The 18,885-nt window shown below is 52.4% G+C and overlaps 1 protein-coding gene across 4 annotated transcripts in view, besides 9 other annotated features; it reads left to right on the top strand.

Annotated features, from left to right (window-relative positions):
• ECE1 (endothelin converting enzyme 1) overlaps positions 1–18,885 on the top strand; it is a 128,255-nt gene that overhangs the window by 13,793 nt on the left and 95,577 nt on the right. The window contains exon 1 of one of the 4 annotated variants that reach the window (XM_011540872.3): positions 1,627–2,506. The exons of 2 other annotated variants lie outside the window; for them this stretch is intronic. In XM_011540872.3, the coding sequence (XP_011539174.1) occupies positions 2,432–2,506 (75 nt within the window). In that variant the 5' untranslated portion in view covers positions 1,627–2,431. Of the gene's footprint in view, positions 1–1,626; positions 2,507–10,756; positions 10,996–18,885 lie in introns of those variants that run through there. One more of the 4 variants, XM_047448096.1, reaches the window with a different exon arrangement.
• Positions 1,983–2,640: an enhancer, noted in NCBI's record as "H3K27ac hESC enhancer chr1:21655565-21656222 (GRCh37/hg19 assembly coordinates)". NCBI's record gives its function as "activates a minimal SCP1, AML or CMV promoter by ChIP-STARR-seq in naive H9 embryonic stem cells {active_cell/tissue: H9 hESC(naive)}" and the evidence as "EXISTENCE:reporter gene assay evidence [ECO:0000049][PMID:30033119]".
• Positions 3,514–4,072: an enhancer, noted in NCBI's record as "H3K27ac-H3K4me1 hESC enhancer chr1:21654133-21654691 (GRCh37/hg19 assembly coordinates)". NCBI's record gives its function as "activates a minimal SCP1, AML or CMV promoter by ChIP-STARR-seq in naive H9 embryonic stem cells {active_cell/tissue: H9 hESC(naive)}" and the evidence as "EXISTENCE:reporter gene assay evidence [ECO:0000049][PMID:30033119]".
• Positions 7,435–7,995: an enhancer, noted in NCBI's record as "H3K27ac-H3K4me1 hESC enhancer chr1:21650210-21650770 (GRCh37/hg19 assembly coordinates)". NCBI's record gives its function as "activates a minimal SCP1, AML or CMV promoter by ChIP-STARR-seq in primed H9 embryonic stem cells {active_cell/tissue: H9 hESC(primed)}" and the evidence as "EXISTENCE:reporter gene assay evidence [ECO:0000049][PMID:30033119]".
• Positions 8,909–9,728: an enhancer, noted in NCBI's record as "H3K27ac-H3K4me1 hESC enhancer chr1:21648477-21649296 (GRCh37/hg19 assembly coordinates)". NCBI's record gives its function as "activates a minimal SCP1, AML or CMV promoter by ChIP-STARR-seq in naive H9 embryonic stem cells {active_cell/tissue: H9 hESC(naive)}" and the evidence as "EXISTENCE:reporter gene assay evidence [ECO:0000049][PMID:30033119]".
• Positions 11,399–12,216: an enhancer, noted in NCBI's record as "H3K27ac-H3K4me1 hESC enhancer chr1:21645989-21646806 (GRCh37/hg19 assembly coordinates)". NCBI's record gives its function as "activates a minimal SCP1, AML or CMV promoter by ChIP-STARR-seq in naive H9 embryonic stem cells {active_cell/tissue: H9 hESC(naive)}" and the evidence as "EXISTENCE:reporter gene assay evidence [ECO:0000049][PMID:30033119]".
• Positions 11,407–11,646: a silencer, noted in NCBI's record as "fragment chr1:21646559-21646798 (GRCh37/hg19 assembly coordinates)". NCBI's record gives its function as "represses an EF-1alpha promoter that drives an FKBP-Casp9 reporter gene in an ReSE screen in HepG2 liver carcinoma cells {active_cell/tissue: HepG2}" and the evidence as "EXISTENCE:reporter gene assay evidence [ECO:0000049][PMID:32094911]".
• Positions 13,035–13,852: an enhancer, noted in NCBI's record as "H3K27ac-H3K4me1 hESC enhancer chr1:21644353-21645170 (GRCh37/hg19 assembly coordinates)". NCBI's record gives its function as "activates a minimal SCP1, AML or CMV promoter by ChIP-STARR-seq in primed H9 embryonic stem cells {active_cell/tissue: H9 hESC(primed)}" and the evidence as "EXISTENCE:reporter gene assay evidence [ECO:0000049][PMID:30033119]".
• Positions 13,853–14,670: an enhancer, noted in NCBI's record as "H3K27ac-H3K4me1 hESC enhancer chr1:21643535-21644352 (GRCh37/hg19 assembly coordinates)". NCBI's record gives its function as "activates a minimal SCP1, AML or CMV promoter by ChIP-STARR-seq in primed H9 embryonic stem cells {active_cell/tissue: H9 hESC(primed)}" and the evidence as "EXISTENCE:reporter gene assay evidence [ECO:0000049][PMID:30033119]".
• Positions 15,764–16,553: an enhancer, noted in NCBI's record as "NANOG-H3K4me1 hESC enhancer chr1:21641652-21642441 (GRCh37/hg19 assembly coordinates)". NCBI's record gives its function as "activates a minimal SCP1, AML or CMV promoter by ChIP-STARR-seq in primed H9 embryonic stem cells {active_cell/tissue: H9 hESC(primed)}" and the evidence as "EXISTENCE:reporter gene assay evidence [ECO:0000049][PMID:30033119]".

The raw sequence follows: 18,885 nt of genomic DNA, 5'->3' as shown, positions 1-18,885 counted from the left end.
GTGGGAAAACTGAGGGACAGAGAGGTAATGTATCTCTCCTCTCAGTCAGTAATTGGCAGAGCTAGAGTGGAACCTGGGCAGTTTTGGCTACAGAGTCTATGCTTTTTTTTTTCTTTTTTTTAGCGAAGTCTCACTCTGCCTGTCACCCTGGCTGGAATGCAATGGCACCATCGTGCATCATGGCTCACTGCAACCTCAACCTCCCAGACTCAAGCGATCCTCCCACCTCAGCCTCTCGAGTAACTGAGACTACAAGCGTGCACCACCATACCCGGCTAAGTTTTTATTTTTTAATTTTTTAATTTTTTTGAGACAGAGTCTCACTCTGTCGCCAGTCTGGAGTGCAGTGGCATGATCTCGGCTCATTGCAATTGTCACCTCCTGGGTTCAAGCGATTCCTCTGCCTCAGCCTCCTGAGTAGCTGGGACTACAGGCGCTGCACCACCACGCCCGGCTAATTTTTGGATTTTTAGTAGAGATGGGGTTTCACCATGTTGGCCAGGGTCGTCTCGATCTCCTGACCTCAAGTGATCCACCCGCCTCGGCCTCCCAAAGTGCTGGGATTACAGGCATGAGCCACCGTGCCTGGCCTAATTTTTTTGTAGAGACAGGGTTTGCTATGTTGCCTAGGCTGGTCTCAAACTTCGGGCTCAAGCGATCGTCCTGCCTCGGACCCCCAAAGTTTGGGATGACAGGCGTGAACCACCACCCCTGGCTGAATCCAACTTGTGCTTCCTCCATAACTGACTTCTACCCAGCTGGTCGTAGTCCTTATGATCAGCCAGTCTCATGGACTCTGAGTGCCTCACCTTCCATGAGAGTCCTTTGCAGCCAGCAAAGGGAAGAAATTAATCTTAGGTCTTCCTGTACAGCCTGTGTTCAGCATCAGCTCAGGGGTGAGCGGATAGGGACCTTCAAGGAAGGGGGTGTGGAAGTTTAAGACCCAGAAAGGAAAGGACCTGAGTCAGGGGGAGGAAGAAGGATTAGCCTAGGAAGCATTTAATGGGGAGAGAAAGGAAACTCAGAAGGCTGAAAAAGTTGGCATTCAAACTGAAGCAACATTTGCTGAGTACGTTTCCTGTGCCAGGCATGGCAGTGTCTGTGCCTTCCAGGAGCTCCCAGGCCTGTGGGAGAGATAGATAAATTAGCAGGTAAATTGCTGAATAGTATTTGGTGAGGTCAGCTAGGGGCGGTAGCTCACACCTGTAATCCCAGAACTTTGGGAGGCTGCGATGGGTGGGTCACTTGAGGCCAGGAGTTCGAGACCAGTCTGGGCAACATGACAAAACCCCATCTCTACAAAAAATACGAAACAATTAGCTGGGCATGGTGGCACGTGCCTTTGGTCCCAGCTACTCAGGAGGCTGAGAATCACTTGAACCCGGGAGGCAGAGGTTGCAGTGAGTGGAGATCATGCCACTGCACTCCAGCCTGGGTGGCAGAGGGAGACTCTGTCTCAAAAAAAAAAAAAAAAAAAAAAAAAAAGTATTTGGCGAGTATGTGGGCAGGAGCCTTTAAAGGCCCAGAGGAATAGGACCTGGGAGACTCTGTCTCAAAAAAAAAAAAAAAAAAAAAAAAGTATTTAGTGAGTATGTGGGCAGGAGCCTTTAAAGGCCCAGTAACTTGGTCCAGGGAGGTGATGTTTGAGTTGGGTCTTGAAGGATGGGTAGGAGTTTGCCAGCCAGGCAAAGCTAGTAGTAGCAGAGCCAAAATTTAAACCTGAACAGTCTGGCTCCAGACTCTGTGTTCTTTCCTGCAGCATGCTTGGCCCTGCTGCCCTACAAGGCCTAGCCTTGGGAGGTGAGACTCTGGGTCCTGGGTCACTCCACGTGAGCCCTAGACCATTTTCCCATCCAATTCCTGCTTTTGCTCTTCACAAACTCCCACTCTCTCCCCCTTCTGCAAAGGTGGTTGGGAGTTGACTAGCCTTGTAGGCAGTCTGTGTCTCTCTAAGTGACTAGGATTTGTGGTGTGCTGAGAAGGGTACACAGATTCTACCCTCAGTTCTCCTGTGGCAGGTAGGAGGCACAGACAGACAGAGAAGCATTTCCTGGTTTGTTTTTCCACTGTTTGCCCCGAGCACATGAACTGTGCTTTGCATAAGGCACCTCCTCAGATCATTGCAACAACCCTGGCAGGTAGAGGTAATTTACTGCCGTTTTAAGCATGAGAAAGGTGACTCACAGAGGTTGAGCCATGTGTCCAAGGTCACACAGCTAAGCCAGTAAGTAGAGGGACTGGAATTTGCACCTCAATCTAACTGCAAGGCCTGTACTCGTGTTTTTAAGCCATCAGGAAGAATACCAGGTTATGAAGGCCACGCCCCTTTCTGGTGAGTCTCACCTCTGTGCTGGTAATCAGGACACCCAGGAATTGCAAGTCGGCGGTAGCAAGCATAAGGTTGCATTGATTTCAGTGCTTCTCAACGGACATGTGCATGAGAATCATCAGGAATGCTGGTTACAAATGCAAGTTTCATTGCCCTCATCCTAGAGGTTCTAACTCAGTAAGTGTCGGGGGGAGGGTCCAGGAACCTACATTTCCAGCAGAATGCCTGATTCTGATGCTGGTGGACCATAGAATATGCTAGAAATCTAATTTATTACATGTCTTCTCTGGGTCCAACACTATCCTGGGCATTTTATTTGGTCACTTCAGCCATCAGAACATCGCCTGGTAGGGGGAATGGATGCAAAGGGAGGTGGGAGTCTAGAGAGAGATTCGCAGCAGTCATGATGAACAGCCAGCATGTCCATTCCACCTTTAGATCAATTGGATAAGGAAACTGAGGCTCAGAGAGGCGGTACCTTGCCCAAAGCTTGTGGTGGCAGAGCTGGGATTAGAAAGCAGACCCTCAGCAGCCGAGGCCTGTGTTCCTCCTAATACCCAACGTGGTTGCTTTTGCAGACTTCCACACAGAGATTCTTTTTTTTTTTTTTTTTTTTTTCGAGATGGAGGTTCGCTCTTGTTGCTCAGGCTGGAGTACAGTGGAGTGACCTCAACTCACTGCAACCTCCATCTCCCAGGTTCAAGCGATTCTTCTGCCTCAACCTCCTGAGTAGCTGGGATCACAGGCGCCCGCCACCATGCCTGGCTAATTTTTTGTATTCTTAGTAGAGACATGGTTTCACCATGTTGGCCAGGCTGGTCTGGAACTCCTGACCTCAGGTGATCCACCCACCTCGGCCTCCCAAAGTGCTGGGATTACAGGCGTGAGCCACTGCACCTGGCCTACACACAGATTCTTGGGGACATCTGCCAAATATCAGCATAGGTAAATGTGGGATGATCAGTGGTGGCAATATCTACCATTTACTGAGGACCCACTATGTGCCAGGCACAAGGTCTAGAATGGTTAGCAAGCAGGCATGGTCTTGGACAGTTGCACAGATCTCTAACTATAAGCAGGTTGCTATGGGAGTTTATGTCAGAGGAGCCATCCCTGGCAGAGAGCAGGAGCAGGGAAGACATCCCTGAGGAAGAAGGATTTGAGAAGAGATCTGAAAGATGTGTTAAGTGTTAACCAGGCAAATAAATGGAGAGAAAAAGAGTCTAGGCTGTGAGAACAGCATGTGCAAAGGTCCTGGGGTGAGTGACCTATAGCAGCAATCTCCAACCTTTTTGGTGCCAGGCTTCGTGGAAGACAATTTTTCCATGGACAGGGTGTGAAGAATGGTTTCCCTTATGAGAATCTAACTAAGCCCGATGATCTGAGGTACATGAAACTGTTCCACCTCAGTTCATGTTAGTTAGATTCATCACCTTAGTTAGATTCTCATAGATTCTCATAGGAATGCACAGCCTAGATCCCTCGCACGTGCAGTTCACAATAGGGTTCGCGCTCCTACGAGAATCTAATGCCACCGCTGATCTGACCGAAGGCAGAGCTCAGGCGGTAATGTCCACCCACAGCTCACCTCCTGCTGTGCGGCCCGGTTCCTAACAGGCCATGGACTGGTACTGGTCTGAGGCCCGGGGGGCTGGGGACCCCAGCTGTGTAGCTGGAGTAGAGAGGAAGGGTGAAGCTGAAGGGTGGTCAGGGCTGGGTCCCGCAGGGCCGTGCAGACCAGGTGAGGCTTTATTTTCCTCTATACCAAAAGACTCCATTTGTGCCCTCAAAGTAAGAAAAGGCAAAAATGTGTAACAAGCAGGGTGGAGGTCTCCCGGTTCTCGAAGGGGTGTCAGCAGGGAGCTAAGATGATCCAACTTGACTTGAGTGGGGAGGGCAAGAGTGGCATCAGAAAATGGTGGTGGCTTTGCCCAGGCCAGTGGTAGTGGTGAGGGAGAGGCAGACAGAGAAACTGAGTAGAGTGGGCAGGGCCTGGTGATTGATTGGAGTGGGGCAGGGGATCAGCCCGTCGCTTTGACAAATGAGAAAACAGAGCCCAGAAAGGTTGCATGAGCCACCGGAGTCACACAGTCCAAGCGTTAGAGCCAGACGCTAAGCTGGAGCCTCCCATCCCAGGGCCTTCCAGCCAAACATGGACTCCAGGCCCCAGATTCCTGGCAGCTGCTCTGGCAGAGTCCCTCTTCCCAGTCTCCTGGTGGCTTCGTCCCTCCCCATGCCCTGCTGCCTGCAGAGTCTGGCAGCTTCAAGGGAGTGGGGTGCTTTGAAGCATCTACAGGGAGGGCAGTGCTGTGACCTCCAAATTCTTTCCATGTGACCTATGCGACCCCAGCGAGACCAGGGCCCTCAGGACCCTGCCCTCCCCAGGCTTTGACGGAGTCCACAGAGGTGGGGTTTAGGGGCCAGAGCCACTGTGCAAACACAGCCCCTTGCTGGGGAGCGGGGGTGTTTCCAGGGACCCGAGCTGATGCCCTGTCATGAAGAGAAAGGAGACGCAGGGGCCAAAGGCTGGGGAGACCCTCTCTGTGCTCAGTGGGGTCTCCCCAGCAGCGGGGAGCTGCTTCCCCATCCAGGCTCCGTAACTGCAGGCTGCTGGCTGCTGTCTTAGGATTTCTGTTTTCTTCCCTGATGTCACCCCAGTTGGCACCTAAGACCTCTGAGATGCTGCTCAGTTAAATGGATTCTTAGCTCTGCAGGCCTCGCCCCACCTCCCTACGCTGCTCCAAACCATCCCCCTCCTGAAACCAGAAATATAACCCCCCTATTATGAACCTCATCTCCTCGAACCTGAGCCCCTATTTTCCTTAAGATTTGGATCTCTCTTTGGGGTTCAGGCCCCCCTTTTTTCTCACTAGGTTCTAGGACCTGCTTCCTGCTTAGGCACCTTCTTCTCCCTGGACCCCTTCTTCACCCTTAGACCCTGGACCTGGGTCTGATCCCTCTCTGGGGACTGGAGGCTCTGCTGTCTTAGAGACCAGCACCCCCGACACACACACCCCACGGTCTCCCAGGTTTCTCTAACCCCCAGGGGCTTCACCCTTCTCAGCTTGACACACAGTAGGCACTCAAGAGACAAGCTTGATCCTGCCACCCCTTCTCCCAGCCCTCCCCATTTGTGGCCCCTCCTGTACCTCCCCACCCTCCCCCGCATGGGTATTTTTGCTCAGGGAGCTCGTGCTGTGTGGCAGCTGAGTCTGGGAAGCAGCTATTGTTGGCTGAGAACGTGGGGCGGCAGAAGGATGGGGGCTGAGAGGAGGCAGGAAACATGCTCATAGGTCCAGGCCCAGCCCCCTGGTCCCCACACCCCACTGGGTCCAGGTGAGGCCATTTTAGGACAAGTCAAAGAAAGCCCCCTTCCCACAGCCGGGAGCTCCGTTGTGGAAATCACTGCGCTAGGGGAAGCTGGCAGCAAGTTTGGAAACAAGGTGGCTGGCGAAAGTGCCACCGGCAGCTTCGGAGAGCAGCCGGGGCACCCCTTGAGCCTCTGGGTGGCGTCGGGACAGTAGGCAGGACTCCCTGTGTGTTGATGCTCTGCTGCCGCCCCTTCTCGTTGCTTCTCGTACCTGTTTCATGTCTGCTCCGTGGAGCAGGAGGTGGGAACCACAATTTATTGAGCATTAACTTTGAGCTAAGCTGTGTGCTGAGCAATGAATGCATTGACTCAATTCATACCTCAGTCAGCTCCAAGGAAGTGGGTCCTATTGTGTCCCCATTTAATAGGTGAGGAGGCTGAGGCTTGGTGAGGTGAGGTGACTCGGCCAAGGCCACACAACTCCTGACTCTGTTTTTGCAGGCTTCTGTAGAGCATCTGACTTCAAGGCTGAGTGTGTTTTGCTTGTGGCTGAAAAAGACCAGGGACAGCGAGGAGGGAGGAGGCCAGCAAAAGAGGATGAGAAGCCTGCATGGGGAGCAGGGAGTGCCCTTTCTGGTGTGGGGACAGGCAGCTGGAAGCAAATTTCAATCTGGATGAGGAACTGGCACTGTTCTGTCCTCTGGCCCCTCTTGCCCCTTAATTGTGACGTTACTTCTCACCGCTGAAGGGGAACCGCTCGAGACGCTGGCTTGTCCTGGCACCTGCCTTGAGCAGAAGCTCAGAGAAAGATGCATGGAGGGAAAGAGTGGGGAGCAGAAACAAGCCATCAGGTACCAGGTTGGTGGTCCTGGAGCCAGTTTATGGTTCATCTAGTCACAAGGGCCCCGTCTCTGTGTTTAGTGTCAGCTAATGAAGAAATTGAATCCAGTACACAAAATTGGATTTTGCAGTTTTGCAACCAGTCTCAACCCCCCTCTATTGTGTAACGTGTTTCTTTAGAGAAGGAAACCCACAACAAAACATGTGTGCTTTCCTCCTGGCGACCTCTGATACCTCCATTGAAGACATGGCTTAACGAGAACTGTTTTTCTCCTTCTTTCGTGATTTGTGACTTTTCTTGCAGGCTCCAGGTGGCAGTGAGTCAGCCATAAAGCTCGTTCAGGAAAGTCCAGAGGAATTTTTCTTCTGCATCAGGTTCAACTTGAGCAGTGCTGGGTGACGCCCAGTGACACACTCGGTTGGGGAAGGAGAGGCTGGCACACTCCACTAGCTGCTTATCTCTGCCACCTCCGCCTCCATTTGTCCCTGGCTTCCTGGGGCCCAGAGCCATCTCTGCCAGAGCAGGGAGGCCGATTAAGTGACCCGCGGGCTCCTTCTGCCTGACTCAGCTCAGCTCCAGCCCTCTCTGGGGAGAATGAGTCATTTTTTCAACCCTGAAATGTTTCTCTTCATGTGGGAAAGGGGCGGGGGTGGGGAGAGCCCCTCCTGGTCCTCTCCAAACTTGTTCCTCAGCTCTGAGGGACACTTCAGCCACAGACAAAGGGATTCTAGGGCAGCTCTGGAGAGGGCAGTCAGACCTGAAGTCAGTAAACCACAGCTGTGGCAGCCGTTGGAGTCTCCCTGGACAGAAGCACACTGGGCTGAGTGGGTGGAGTGTCCCTGTCAGTCCCGCACTGATGGATGGTTTCTCCCTTGGGGATGGGCCTCTGCCCCCTGCTTCCTCTGCCCACCCAGTTAAGAAGCTATATGAGCCCGGGTGTGGTGGTGCACATCTGTAGTCCCAGCTACTTGGGAGGCTGAGGCAAGAGGATCGCTTGAGCCCAGGAGGTCAAGGCTGCATGAGCTATGGTCGAGGCTGCATGGGCTATGGTCAAGGCCGCACTCCAGCTTGGGCAACAGAGTGAGACCTTGTCTCTTTAAAAACAAAACAGGCCGGGTGAAGTGGCTCATGCCTGTAATCCCAGCACTTTGGGAGGCTGAGGCAGGTGGATCACTTGAGGTCAGGAGTTTGAGGTCAGCCAGACCAACATGGCAAAAACCCATCTCTACTAAAAATACAAAAAAATTAGCCGGGCATGGTGGTGCATACCTGTAATCCCAGCTACTCAAGGAGGCTGAGGCAGGAAAATAGCTTGAAACCCGGGTGGTGGAGGTTGCAGTGAGCCGAGATTGCACCATTGCACTCCAGCCTGGGCAATGGAGTGAAACTATGTCTCAAAAAAAAAAAAAAAAGAAAGAAAATTGCCCCCATCTCCCATTTTCTGTCTCCCTTCACTACCTCATTGCTCCCCTTAGCCCCTCCCACAGTCTAACATGCTGCATATTTGATTTGTCTTATTTATTCTGTCTCCTACTAGCATATAAGTTTCATGAAGGCAAGGCTTATTTTATTTTATTTTATTTTATTTTATTTTATTTTTAGTTTTTTGGGACGGGGTGCCACTCCGTTACCCAAGCTGGAGTGCAGTGGCACAATCACAGCTCTTTGCAGTCTCGAACTCCCAGGCTCAGGTGATCCTCCCATCTCAGCCTTCCAAAGTGCTGGGGTTACAGGCATGAACACTGCACTTGGCCCAAAGGCAAGGATTTTGTCTGTTTTGTTTCCTGCTATATCTGTCGAGAACAGTGCTAACACGTAGTAGGCACACGATTTTAAAGAGGGTAAGAGGAAAATGAATGAGTGAATGGATGTGAGCCCCTGGCAGAGTATCCGGCCTGCAGTCAGGGCTATTGTGTATTTTGATCCATAACCCTCCCCCCGCCGGTTCCAGCTGTGTTGTTCTGGGAGGCTAGGGCCTTTCTCCACCTACGCCCTCAAGGTCAGCTTATCCACTCTTGAGGTTTCATGCTTAATTTTTATATTTGAGCTTCTCATACCAGTGTGTGAGATTGCCCTGGGGATCAGAGTAGGGTACTTGCATCATAAAATAAAAAGGTACTATTTTGGAGCAGAATGCAGAATTGGCATGAATTTTTGAGATTCAAAAGGAAATGAGACTTAAGCTTTTTTCACAGCTTTTAGCTGTGTCCTCAGTCCTGCCAGGGCACAGGTTGACTCTCCTCTGCCATGTGGGTGCTTTGGGAAAGTGTAAGCAGCCTTGTTTTTGGAAATGACCCCAACCCCTGAGCCCTGGGACCTGCCCTCCCTCCAAAGCCCCAGTGAGGGGTTTTCACCAAACATGCACAAATTCCAGCAGAGGGCGGATCCATGTGCGTCCTCTTCCGGGGGCCATGCCCACTTCCCTTCCCGGCCTCCCCGTTTCTTTCTCTCAGCAGAGTGCTAGATCAGAACCTCTTGTCCTTCCTGACAAGAGGCCCTTGTCTGTCTGCCCCCTTTCCTGTGCCTCTCCTCTCCATCGCTGGGTTTTCTTGTCCTTTTCCCCAGCTAGGTGGTTAGATCAACTTCCAACCCCTCAGGGCCAAACAGTGCCACCACACTGGTGTCCCCATCCCCTATGCCAGCAGTGGCACTGCCATTTTGGTCACAGGCCTGGGGCCCTGGAGTGTGACACATGTGGGGGGCCTGGCACAGCCCCAACCTGTGCCTCAGCCTGCGCCTTGCACTGGCCAGGTGAGAAGGGCTGGTTGCTCTCCTGCCCCCAAAGAACCCACTGGTGTTTCCATGGCAACTGTGCAGCCAGGCTGCCTGGGCGTCTGCTGGGCTAAGGGCTACCAAGTCCTCCACAAGGTGCCCATGGTTGTGGGAATGGAAGCATTTGCTAGAGGTGGGTGGCACTGACCTGTCCCCAGCCGTTAGGGAGGGAGCTGCACTCCGGGCTCAGGTGGGGTGTGGGGTCTCCTGGTTTTATCCACACCCCCATCCCCACTCCATCTCACTGAGAAGCCGCCTTGCCACTTCTTTCTGAGCCCCTGTTTCTTCATCTGTAAAAGGGGCATATAATGCTGACTTCAGAAGTTGTTCCAGCTCCTGACATGAGCCAGGTGGGGCAGCAGTGAGGGAGCTTCAGGCAGAGGAGGAGGGAGACAAGACCAGACCAAAGGGTGGCCGGGGACGCAGCTCTGTTTCATTCGGACCTGGGAATCACACCAACTGGCCCCTTCCAAGCGGTCTTAGATCCTGAGGAAGCATTCTTCCCTCTCTCAGCCTCAGTTTCTCCTTCTCTAAAATGAAAATAGGGTGGGCACGGTGGCTCATGCCTGTAATCCCAGCACTTTGGGAGGCCAAGGTGGGTGGATCACTTGAGGTCAGGAGTTCGAGATCAGCCTGGCCAACATGGTAAAACCCTGTCTCTACTAAAAATACAAAAATTAGCCGGGTGTGGTGGCACGTGCCTCTAATTCCAGCTACTTCGGAGACTGAGGCAGGAGAATCGCTTGAACCCGGGAGGCAGAGGTTGCAGTGAGCCGAGATTGCGCCATTACACTCCAGCCTGGGCAACAGAGCGAGACTCCATCTCAATCAATCAATCAATCAATCAATCCTGTGTGACAGGACTGCAGAAAGAATGGAGAAAGATAATAAGTGCATGACAAGCCTGGTGCCTGGCCCAACACACCGTAGGTGCTCATTCCATATTGATTACTTGTGAAGGCACCCATGGGCCACTGCACTGGAAATTGTCTTTCCTGTGGTCAGGCCTAGGTCCCCAACAGACCCTCTTCCAGGACATGGCTGCTGGGGGCCCCAGGGCTGCTCCTCCCAGTGGAGAATTCCTCTTATGTTATTCACACAGAGATTTCCCCAGGAAGTCTGAGCCCCTCTTTGTGTATCTTCCCAGCTGTTATCTGGGCCTCCTGAAGGCCTGCCTGGCTTTCTGGTTTATGTTAGGGTTGTTTATATGGGGTCTTATCTCTCCCAGGAGCAGGGGCCAGCCTGGGGAGCAGCAAGATTGTGGGCTTTGAGTCAGAGCAACCTGGGTTTGAGTCCCCAGCTCCGCCACGCACTAGCTCTGGGACCCTTGGCAAGTGACACCACCTCTTGGAACCTCGGTTTCCTCCTCTGTAAAGTGGGGATGGTAGTACCTCCAGCACAGGGTGATCATGAAGATTATGTGGGAAAATATCTGCGCGGTGCCTGGCATGGGTTAAATGATGAGTTACAGACAGCTCCTTTCCCCTTTTCCAAACCAGGAGGTTCTGCAGCAGCAGGATCCTAGAGGCTCAGACCCAGGGCAAGGGAAGACCATCACAGCTCCTCAAGGCACCACCTCGGCAGTAGGCAGGGGAGGCTGCACAGCCGAGCTCCACGCTGCTGGCAGCTCCCAGGACTCCATGGCCTAGAGGAGGCTGGGGACCTCAGGAACCCTCCGCAGAATGAAGGAAGGGTGGGGAAGAAAGACACAGAGATGAGGCTGCGGCCCCTATAGGAGCTTGGGTGAGTGTGGAAGATAAGAGCACAGGCTCTGGAACAGACACGTGCGTCCTTCAGGGAGCTGTGTGACCCCCTGTGAGTGACTCAACCTCTCTGAGCCTCAGTTCCCTGTCTATGCAAATGAAGGATGATGGCATACCATATCTCCTGGGGTTGCTGCGAGGCGTTGATAATACATGGAAAGTGCTTAGCACAGTCTGGCCAAGAATTTTCTACTTATTTTTAGGTTGTATTCTCAGGACCCACTGACTTCTGGCCAAACTCTTCAATTACTCATAAAACAGTATTAAATTTTTTTTAAAAAGCTTATTTCTCCAGCACCTTCCATGAGCCCTGCAGGCAACGTGCTTAGCGCCTACCTCTCATTATCCCATTTGATCGTAGCAGTCCTCTGTGGGGTTGGCCCTGTCACCATCCCCATTTTATAAATGAGAAGTCCGGTGACCTGTTTGAGCCCATACAGCTGTTGACGGCTGGAGCCTGGAGATAGTCGTGGGCGGGGTTAGTGTCTCACCAGGTATCAGCTGGACGCAGCAAACCTCAAACAGAATCCATGGGGAGAATCTGTGAATGAGCTTGTCCAACCTGCGGCCCGTGGGCCGCATGTGACCTGGGATGGCTTTGAATGCGGCTCACCACAGATTCATAAACTTTCTTAAAACATTCTGAGATTTATGCATGCACCTTTGTTTTTTAGCTGATCGGCTATCGTTGGTGTATTTTATGTGTGACCCAAGACAATATTTCTTACATTGTGGCCCAGGGAAGTCAAAAGATGGGACGCTGCTGCCGAGTGTAAACAGAAGATCTGGAGTGGGGTGGGGACACCTGTGGACTCAAGACAGCCTGGGTGGCGAGTGGTGTGTGGGGGCTGGCACTAGAAGCCATGGGACCGCGTGTGTTTGTTCAGCCTGTCTCAGCTGAACTAATGTAAACACCCAGACTGCTTGTTGGCCCTCTGGGGGACCAAGACAAACTAGGGAACAGTGAGCCGTGCCTCCCGGTGCCTGGTAGGGAGTGGCGAGAATGAGGAGCCAGGTCTCAGGAGAGGCTGAGGAGAGTTGGACAGGGATGGAGCCTGGCTTTCCTGCCCAGTTCACAGAGGGGAGGGCACAGCTGCTGGCTTGGAGGGCTCCCAGGAAGGCCAGGAGCAGAAAGTCTGAGAAGCAGATTGGGGGCAGCAGAGGGAGTCTGGCCCTTGGTGCCGGGGGTGCCCTGGTGGACAGAGGTGGGGGCAGCATGGAGCCGGCATTTATGGAGGCCCTAGTATGTACCAGGCCATTTAGACACGAGGTCTTATCATGTCTCTAGAAAAGCCCTGCGTAGTCCACTTTATGATTATGATTATGATTATGATTATGATTATTATTATTTTGAGACGGAGTCTCGCTCTGTCTCCCAGGCTGGAAAGCAGTGATGCGATCTCGGCTCACTGCAACCTCCACTTCCCGGGTTCAAGCGATTGTCCCACCTCAGCCTCCCAAGTAGCTGGGATTATAGACGCACACCACCACGCCTGGCTACTTTTTTGTATTTTAGTGGAGACGGGGTTTCACCATGTTGCCCAAGCTGGTCTCGAACTCCTAAGCTCAGGCAATCCACCCACCTTGGCTTCCCAAAGTGCTTGGATTACGAGCTTGAGCCACCGTGCCTGGCCTCACTTTATTATTTTGACTTAGCTGATGAGAAAACGGAGCCCGGGAGATTGTACAGACCCAGCTCCACTGAAAACCCACAGAATTTGGCTTCCTGGGAGGGTGAGTTTACGGAAGCATTTTCGGATAGTATTCCTTCGCATCTGCCTCTGCTGACGTCACATTTCCCATGCTGACTTTCTTCTGACCCTCGCTCAGCGTCTCCCCCGACAGAAGTGCGGCCTCTGGGGAGCTGTAGCTCTTGCTGCAAATCCCCTCCCCCGTCCGCTTTTTGGCACACTGCCTGGGGGCCTGGCCAGGCTGAAGTGACTGTCAGGTCGGGTTAGCTCCTTGGAAGGCTGGTGTGACCAACTCAGGGGTGTCGCCTGCCTCTCACCCAGGGAGGAGGATTTTGCCACCTCTGCTTGGATAGGCTTGTGAAGTGGGCCTCAGGAAGGCTCACTGGTTCTAAATCTTCAAAAAATGGGATTTTAGAAGTTGCTAAGGCCTGAAATATCACCCCACCCATTTTACAGATAGAGAAACTGAAGCCCAGAGCGGAGAAATGTCTGCCCCAAAGACAGTGAGAGGCTGAGGCACAAGGGAGGGGAGGTCTCCAGGGAGGACACCCCTAGGCCAGGCTGACCTTTGTTAAGGGAGTGGGACAGGGTCAGGAAAGGGCAGGGATGAAGGAAATAAGTTCCCCAACTGCGTCATGACCTGAAACCCAATTTCACAGCTGCTCCCACTCTGCTGCCCTCCCCAAGCTGTGCCCTGGAAATGTCCTTGGGCCCTCAGGAACGCTGATCAGTTCCTGCACATGCGCCAGCAGGGTACTTGTTTCATTGGGTTTGGGTCTCTGCGAGTCCACACGAGGGCCTCCTGCTCCCCACTTGCCACGCCAGGTCTTGCCCACTGCTCTCCCCCACCGTTTCCCTCACTCTTGTTCATCTCCGAGTCCAACAGCTATCACTTGAGTTGTGCAGAGCTGGGAAGAATCGTTTAACCGTCACAGCAGCCAGCGAGGGGACCTCGTCCATGCCGTCTGATACCTTCAAGGTGCACCTTGGAGGGGCAGGCCCTGCTTTGCATGTGTTTTGTCCCCACTTCGAGAAAGAGATCGCGGTGGCTCTGATTTAAGTTCAAGAACATTGGGGTCACACCCCGAGCCTGGATTTGAACCAGGAGACAGACACTGGCACCCCACACCTTCGGCCACACCTGCTAAAGCCAGGGACCTACAGAAGTCACATGACCTGTCTGAGCCTGCACAGCTCTTGACTGCCCTGACCCACTCGTGCGTCTCCAGAGGATCTGTTTGGATGCAAGGTGGTTAGGACCCCACCTTGAGTTGGGGAGCAGGGGCTCAGGAGAGGCCGAAGAGAACTGGGCAGGAATGGAACCGGGCTTTCCTGCCTAGCTCACAGAGGGGAGGGTGTGGCTGCCAGCCTGGAGGGGTCCCAAGAAGGCCAGGAACACAAAGTCTGAGAAGCGGGTGGGGAGCAGTAGAGGGGCTCCAGCCAGCCTGGGCCCATGACTCCATCCCGGTCAGGGGACCAAGATTGCTCAATCCCCAGAGCTGCAGATGCGTCACCAGCTCAGCGTCGCCGCGGGCTGGACTGGCCTTGTGACAAGCAAACCCTTTTCCCCATCTGAGGCCTGCGAGCTGGCCTTCCCCTCTGTCTGTTCATTTTGGGAGACCCTCCCAACAGCAGCAGGAACAATGGCAGCCACCGGATGCCAGGCCCTTTGCAGACACGACCTTGTTTAATTCTCAGAAGAGTCCCGGGAGCTAACAGTGGGCGATAGGATTCCCACTTCACAGAGAAGACTAGGATCGCATGGCAGCAAAGCACAGGGCTGGCTCGAAGCCCAAGTCTGTCTGACCTATTCTGGTGGGTAGCAAAATATCTCAGACATATTAAAAGCATCAGGCTCAGTAAAACCAAACACTGGTATGTAAGTGTTCAGCTTAAGGAATAAAACATCCCAAATGCAGTTGAATCCCCCATACCCCCACACCCCCAGTCCGTTTCTTACCACTCTCTCTCCCAGGGGAAGAGACTGGGAGAGACTCTTCAGTGACTGTCTTGATACTGTTACTCCTGACCTCAGGTGATCCGCCCACCTCGGCCTCCCAAAGTGCTGGGATTACAGGTGTGAGCCACCAAGCGCAGCCTGATTCTGCCTCCCTAAATGATACATAGGTATGATGTTGCTCACTGTTTTTGAACTTTCAATAATTGATTGGAGGCTCCATGTTGACTTCTGCAGCTTTTCTGTCTTCCTGTTGTTTGAGTTGCAGCCACTTGGTTTTCATTACCGTGTAGTATTCCATCCCATGATGTGGCTCTCCTGTGGTTTATCCAGGCTCCTATAGATGGGCATTTAGGCTGTTTCTCATTCACAACCACAGCACATGCTGTGTGGGACTTCCATATTCATGTCTCTTGGCGACCACAGGAGAGTTTCTAAGAAGTATGTGTGTTATGTATGTTAAGAACTGGAATCAGGCCGAGGATGGTGGCTCACACCTGTAATCCCAGCACTTTAGGAGGCCGAGACGGGTGGATCACCTGAGGTCAGGAGTTCGAGATCAGCCTGGCCAACATGGTGAAACCCCATCTCTACTAAAAAAAAAATACAAAAATTAGCTCAGTGTGGTGGCGCACGCCTGTAACCCCAGCTACTCAGGAGTCTGAGGCAGGAGCATTGCTTGAACCCAGGAGGCAGAGGTTGTAGTGAGCCGAGATCGTGCCACTGCACTCCAGCCTGGGCAACAGAGCAAGACTCTTTCTCAAAAAACAAACAAACAAACAAAAAACTAGAATCAGATAAACCCACGGCATCATGGGATTCCTCACTGAGAGAACAGGCCAACAATATTGGGGTTGCTGTTCTGAGGGTGAAAAACCCCTTAAGGACAGTAATGTTCTTCTGATTTGCTGCTGTAAACAGCACCAAGAACAGTGTCTGGCGCATTGTGTGCGTGTAGTAAATCTGTTCCCTAGACAAGAGGACATGTGCCAGCTACTGTGGCAGGTACTCAACTTACACAGCCGCACTCAGTCACTGTGAGGAGGGGTTCTCCCAAATCACAGGTAAGCTGACTGTGGCACCAGAGAGGTTAAGTCCCATTCTTAAGGTCCTACAGCCGGTACCCAGGTTGACTGACTCCAGAACCAGCACTCTTTCCTGACGCTGCCTGTGTAGACAGAGGGAGTGGATTCATAGAGCCCTAGAATCCTAGAATATGGGGAAAATAGGGCCAGCTTTTTTTTTTTTTTTTTTTTTTTGAGACAGAGTCTTGCTCTGTCACCCAGGCTGGAGTGCAGTGGCACACAGCTCACTGCAACCTCTGCCTCCTGGGTTCAAGTGATTCTCACACCTCAGCCTCGCAAGTAGCTGGGATTACAGGCATGCGCTACCACACCTGTCTAATTTTTGTATTTTTAGTAGAGATGGAGTTTCACCATGTTGGCCAGGCTGGTCTCAAACTCCTGACCTCAAGTGATCTGCCTGCCTTGGCCTCCCAAAGTGCTGGGACTACAAACCTGAGCCCCCATGCCCGGCCAGGAGCAGCTTTTAATGCCTAGTTGCCTATATACAAGCCCCTAGGACTTTCCAGGTTGTCCTAGACGCCGTGAGGGTGAGGTGGCACCAGCTGGTAGATCACCTTTGGCCTGGGATACCCCAGACATTGGGGCTGAGTGACAGCTCATCTCTGAGGTTGATCCATTGGGGAACTGCAAAGGTTGGGACCCCAGTAGGCATCGGATTCAGCTGCAGTTGGATGGAGGTGGCAGCCTGAACCAACCAAAGAATTATTTGCTTGGGACATGAGCAGACCTGGGCTCAAATTACAGATCTGCCACTTATTAGCTGTGTGATTTTAGGCAAGCCTCTTAACCTTTCTGAGCCTTATCACCCCCATCTGTTAAATAGGTATTGACTCTGGCTTGCAGAGAGATAGATTTGAAATTAATGAGTGTGACAGTCTTAACACAGTGCCTGGATAGTAGTTATTAATTACAGTACAAGGGAGGGTTTTCTACTGGGGATACATACAAATCACTACAGATACATACAGATGGGGCAGCATGGGACACAGAGGAAGACTTCATAGAGGAGATGACATTTCATCTGGGTTTTGGAGGGTGAATAGGAGTTCTCCAAGCCAAGAAGCAGACCATAGGTCAAACAGTTTCTATGCGTCCTGGACTAGATTTGGTATTGAGAGGGATAAGCACAGTGTTGTTTACAAAAACAACAACAAACAAACTCAAGTTGCTTGCAGTAGATAAAGATACATGATCCCATGGAAATGGCACAGGCCAGGTACTGACTGAATAGACAAAGAATCAGTGGCGTTGGGGTCTTAGGAACACGTGAAAGCTGTGAGCCAGGACAGTCAGGAAGTTCCCTGGAGGGGAGGTTGGATTTAGATGACAAAGGAAGATGGAGAGGGGCTGTCTGACCCTTGATTTCCTGACTGGGCTGGGTTAGGAAAGGGGTCACCCAGCTTGGCAAGGGGCTGGGGACATACCTAGTAGGTTCTGTCAGAAGCCCCACTGTGTCCCTGTCACCAGGGCTGGGGCCGATCCCTGCCTTGGAAGAAAAGAAAAGTTGTTCCTAATTGTTAATTGTGCAATGGCAGATTGGCTCCCGAATGGGACTGAACTGAGCCAAGCCCTGGAGGGAGAGGAGGAGCTCAGGCTGTATCACTACCGAGCCAGGAATTTGGGGGCCCGGGAGGGGGTTTGGGAATGTGGCTGCGTGAGTGTCCCAGGAAGGGCCTAGCCAGCGCCCCCTTCCCAGAACTCCCACGCCATTCTGCAGGCTCCCATAATGCCTGAGTATCGGGTAGAAATTGGGTTCAAATTTGATCCCATCTTTTTACCAGCTGTGCAACCTTGGACTTGTTACTTAACCTCTCTGTGTCTCTTATTCCACATCTTTCACGTGGGGTTGCTGTTATGGTTAATTAGAAAACACACGTAAAGTGCTTAGCACGGAACCTAGAATGAAGTCATTGCTCAAGATGTGGCTTTTGCTGGTGCCATGTCGTTGGTGTTACCGTTTAGCAGCTGCAGCCTCAGCACTGTCATCATTGCCCCTACATCTGTAACCCAGGCCACACTACTGCTCAGGTTGAACCCAGGGTCATTCCAGCTGCTCGTACCCGTTCTCCGTGAGCCGGGACATTCCTGTGCCACAGGCATTACCTTGGCAGTGCCTCTCTTTAGGAGGCAGCACTTGAATTCCCCATGTGCCTTTTCATGGATTATCGCCTTAATTCCCACCATAGCCCAGTGAAGTAGGTTCACATGTCCCCATTTTATAGATGAGAACACATGCTCAGAGAGGTAAGGCAACTCACCCAGGGTCACACAGCAGTAAATTACAGAGAGTCCAGCTGAGGTCTGTCTGTTCCAGAACCTTTGTTCTTTCCACTCCAAGGTTGAGGGAGCAGCTTGTTCTCATTGGATCTGAGCCTGGTGCTCAGCCCCCTGCTCCCCCACTCCCACCTGCATCATGTATTCCTCTCCCTAGTTCTCATCCCCGCCCAGCTCTGCTCTGGGCCTGGGACCACTCTGGACCAAGACTGCAGCTAGGGCAGCTCCTGTCCTCCTGAGCCAATGCAGTCATCATTCCCCCACTGTCAGCTGGAATCAGCCCTCCTCTCCCCAGCCAGGCGTTTCCTCCCGGGCTCCCTCCATCCCCCCAGGCAAGCATGACACATGTGTCTTGAGGGGGATGGAGTGTACTGGGGACCAGATGGGAAGCTGAGCCTGGGGTGGGCTTGTCCAGCAGATATGCCTGGTCACCGAGGCAACGCCAGCTCAGCAGCATCTGGTTTGGCTGCAGGTCCACCCTGATTGGCTGGGGCTAGACAAGGGGAGTTGGCCTTGGCATTGTGGGCAGGTGAGGGGACAAGCACAGAGGCATCAGAGTCCAGGAGGGAATAGTGGGGCGCAGAGGGCAGAGTGGAAACAATAAGTAGTTTAGAGTCAGACAGACCTGGTGTCCAGTCCTGCCCTGTCACTTTCTGGCTGTGTGATCCAAGCAAGTCACTACCCCTCTCTGAGTTGCAGTTTTAGCATCTGCAAAATGAGAGACAATGATAGTATTTACCTTACATCTGCATGAGAGGATCAAATAGCAGTGCTGGTGATCACAATACTTTGTGTCTTTGAACTATTTTAATTCTCATAGCTACCTATGAGAGTGGGGCTATTATTAGCTTTGTTTTTTTAAT

Source organism: Homo sapiens, chromosome 1 (assembly GCF_000001405.40).
Source record: "Homo sapiens chromosome 1, GRCh38.p14 Primary Assembly".
NCBI lineage: Eukaryota > Metazoa > Chordata > Mammalia > Primates > Hominidae > Homo > Homo sapiens.
Note: the sequence above shows the minus strand (reverse complement) of the source record. Positions and strands in the feature narration are given on the sequence as shown.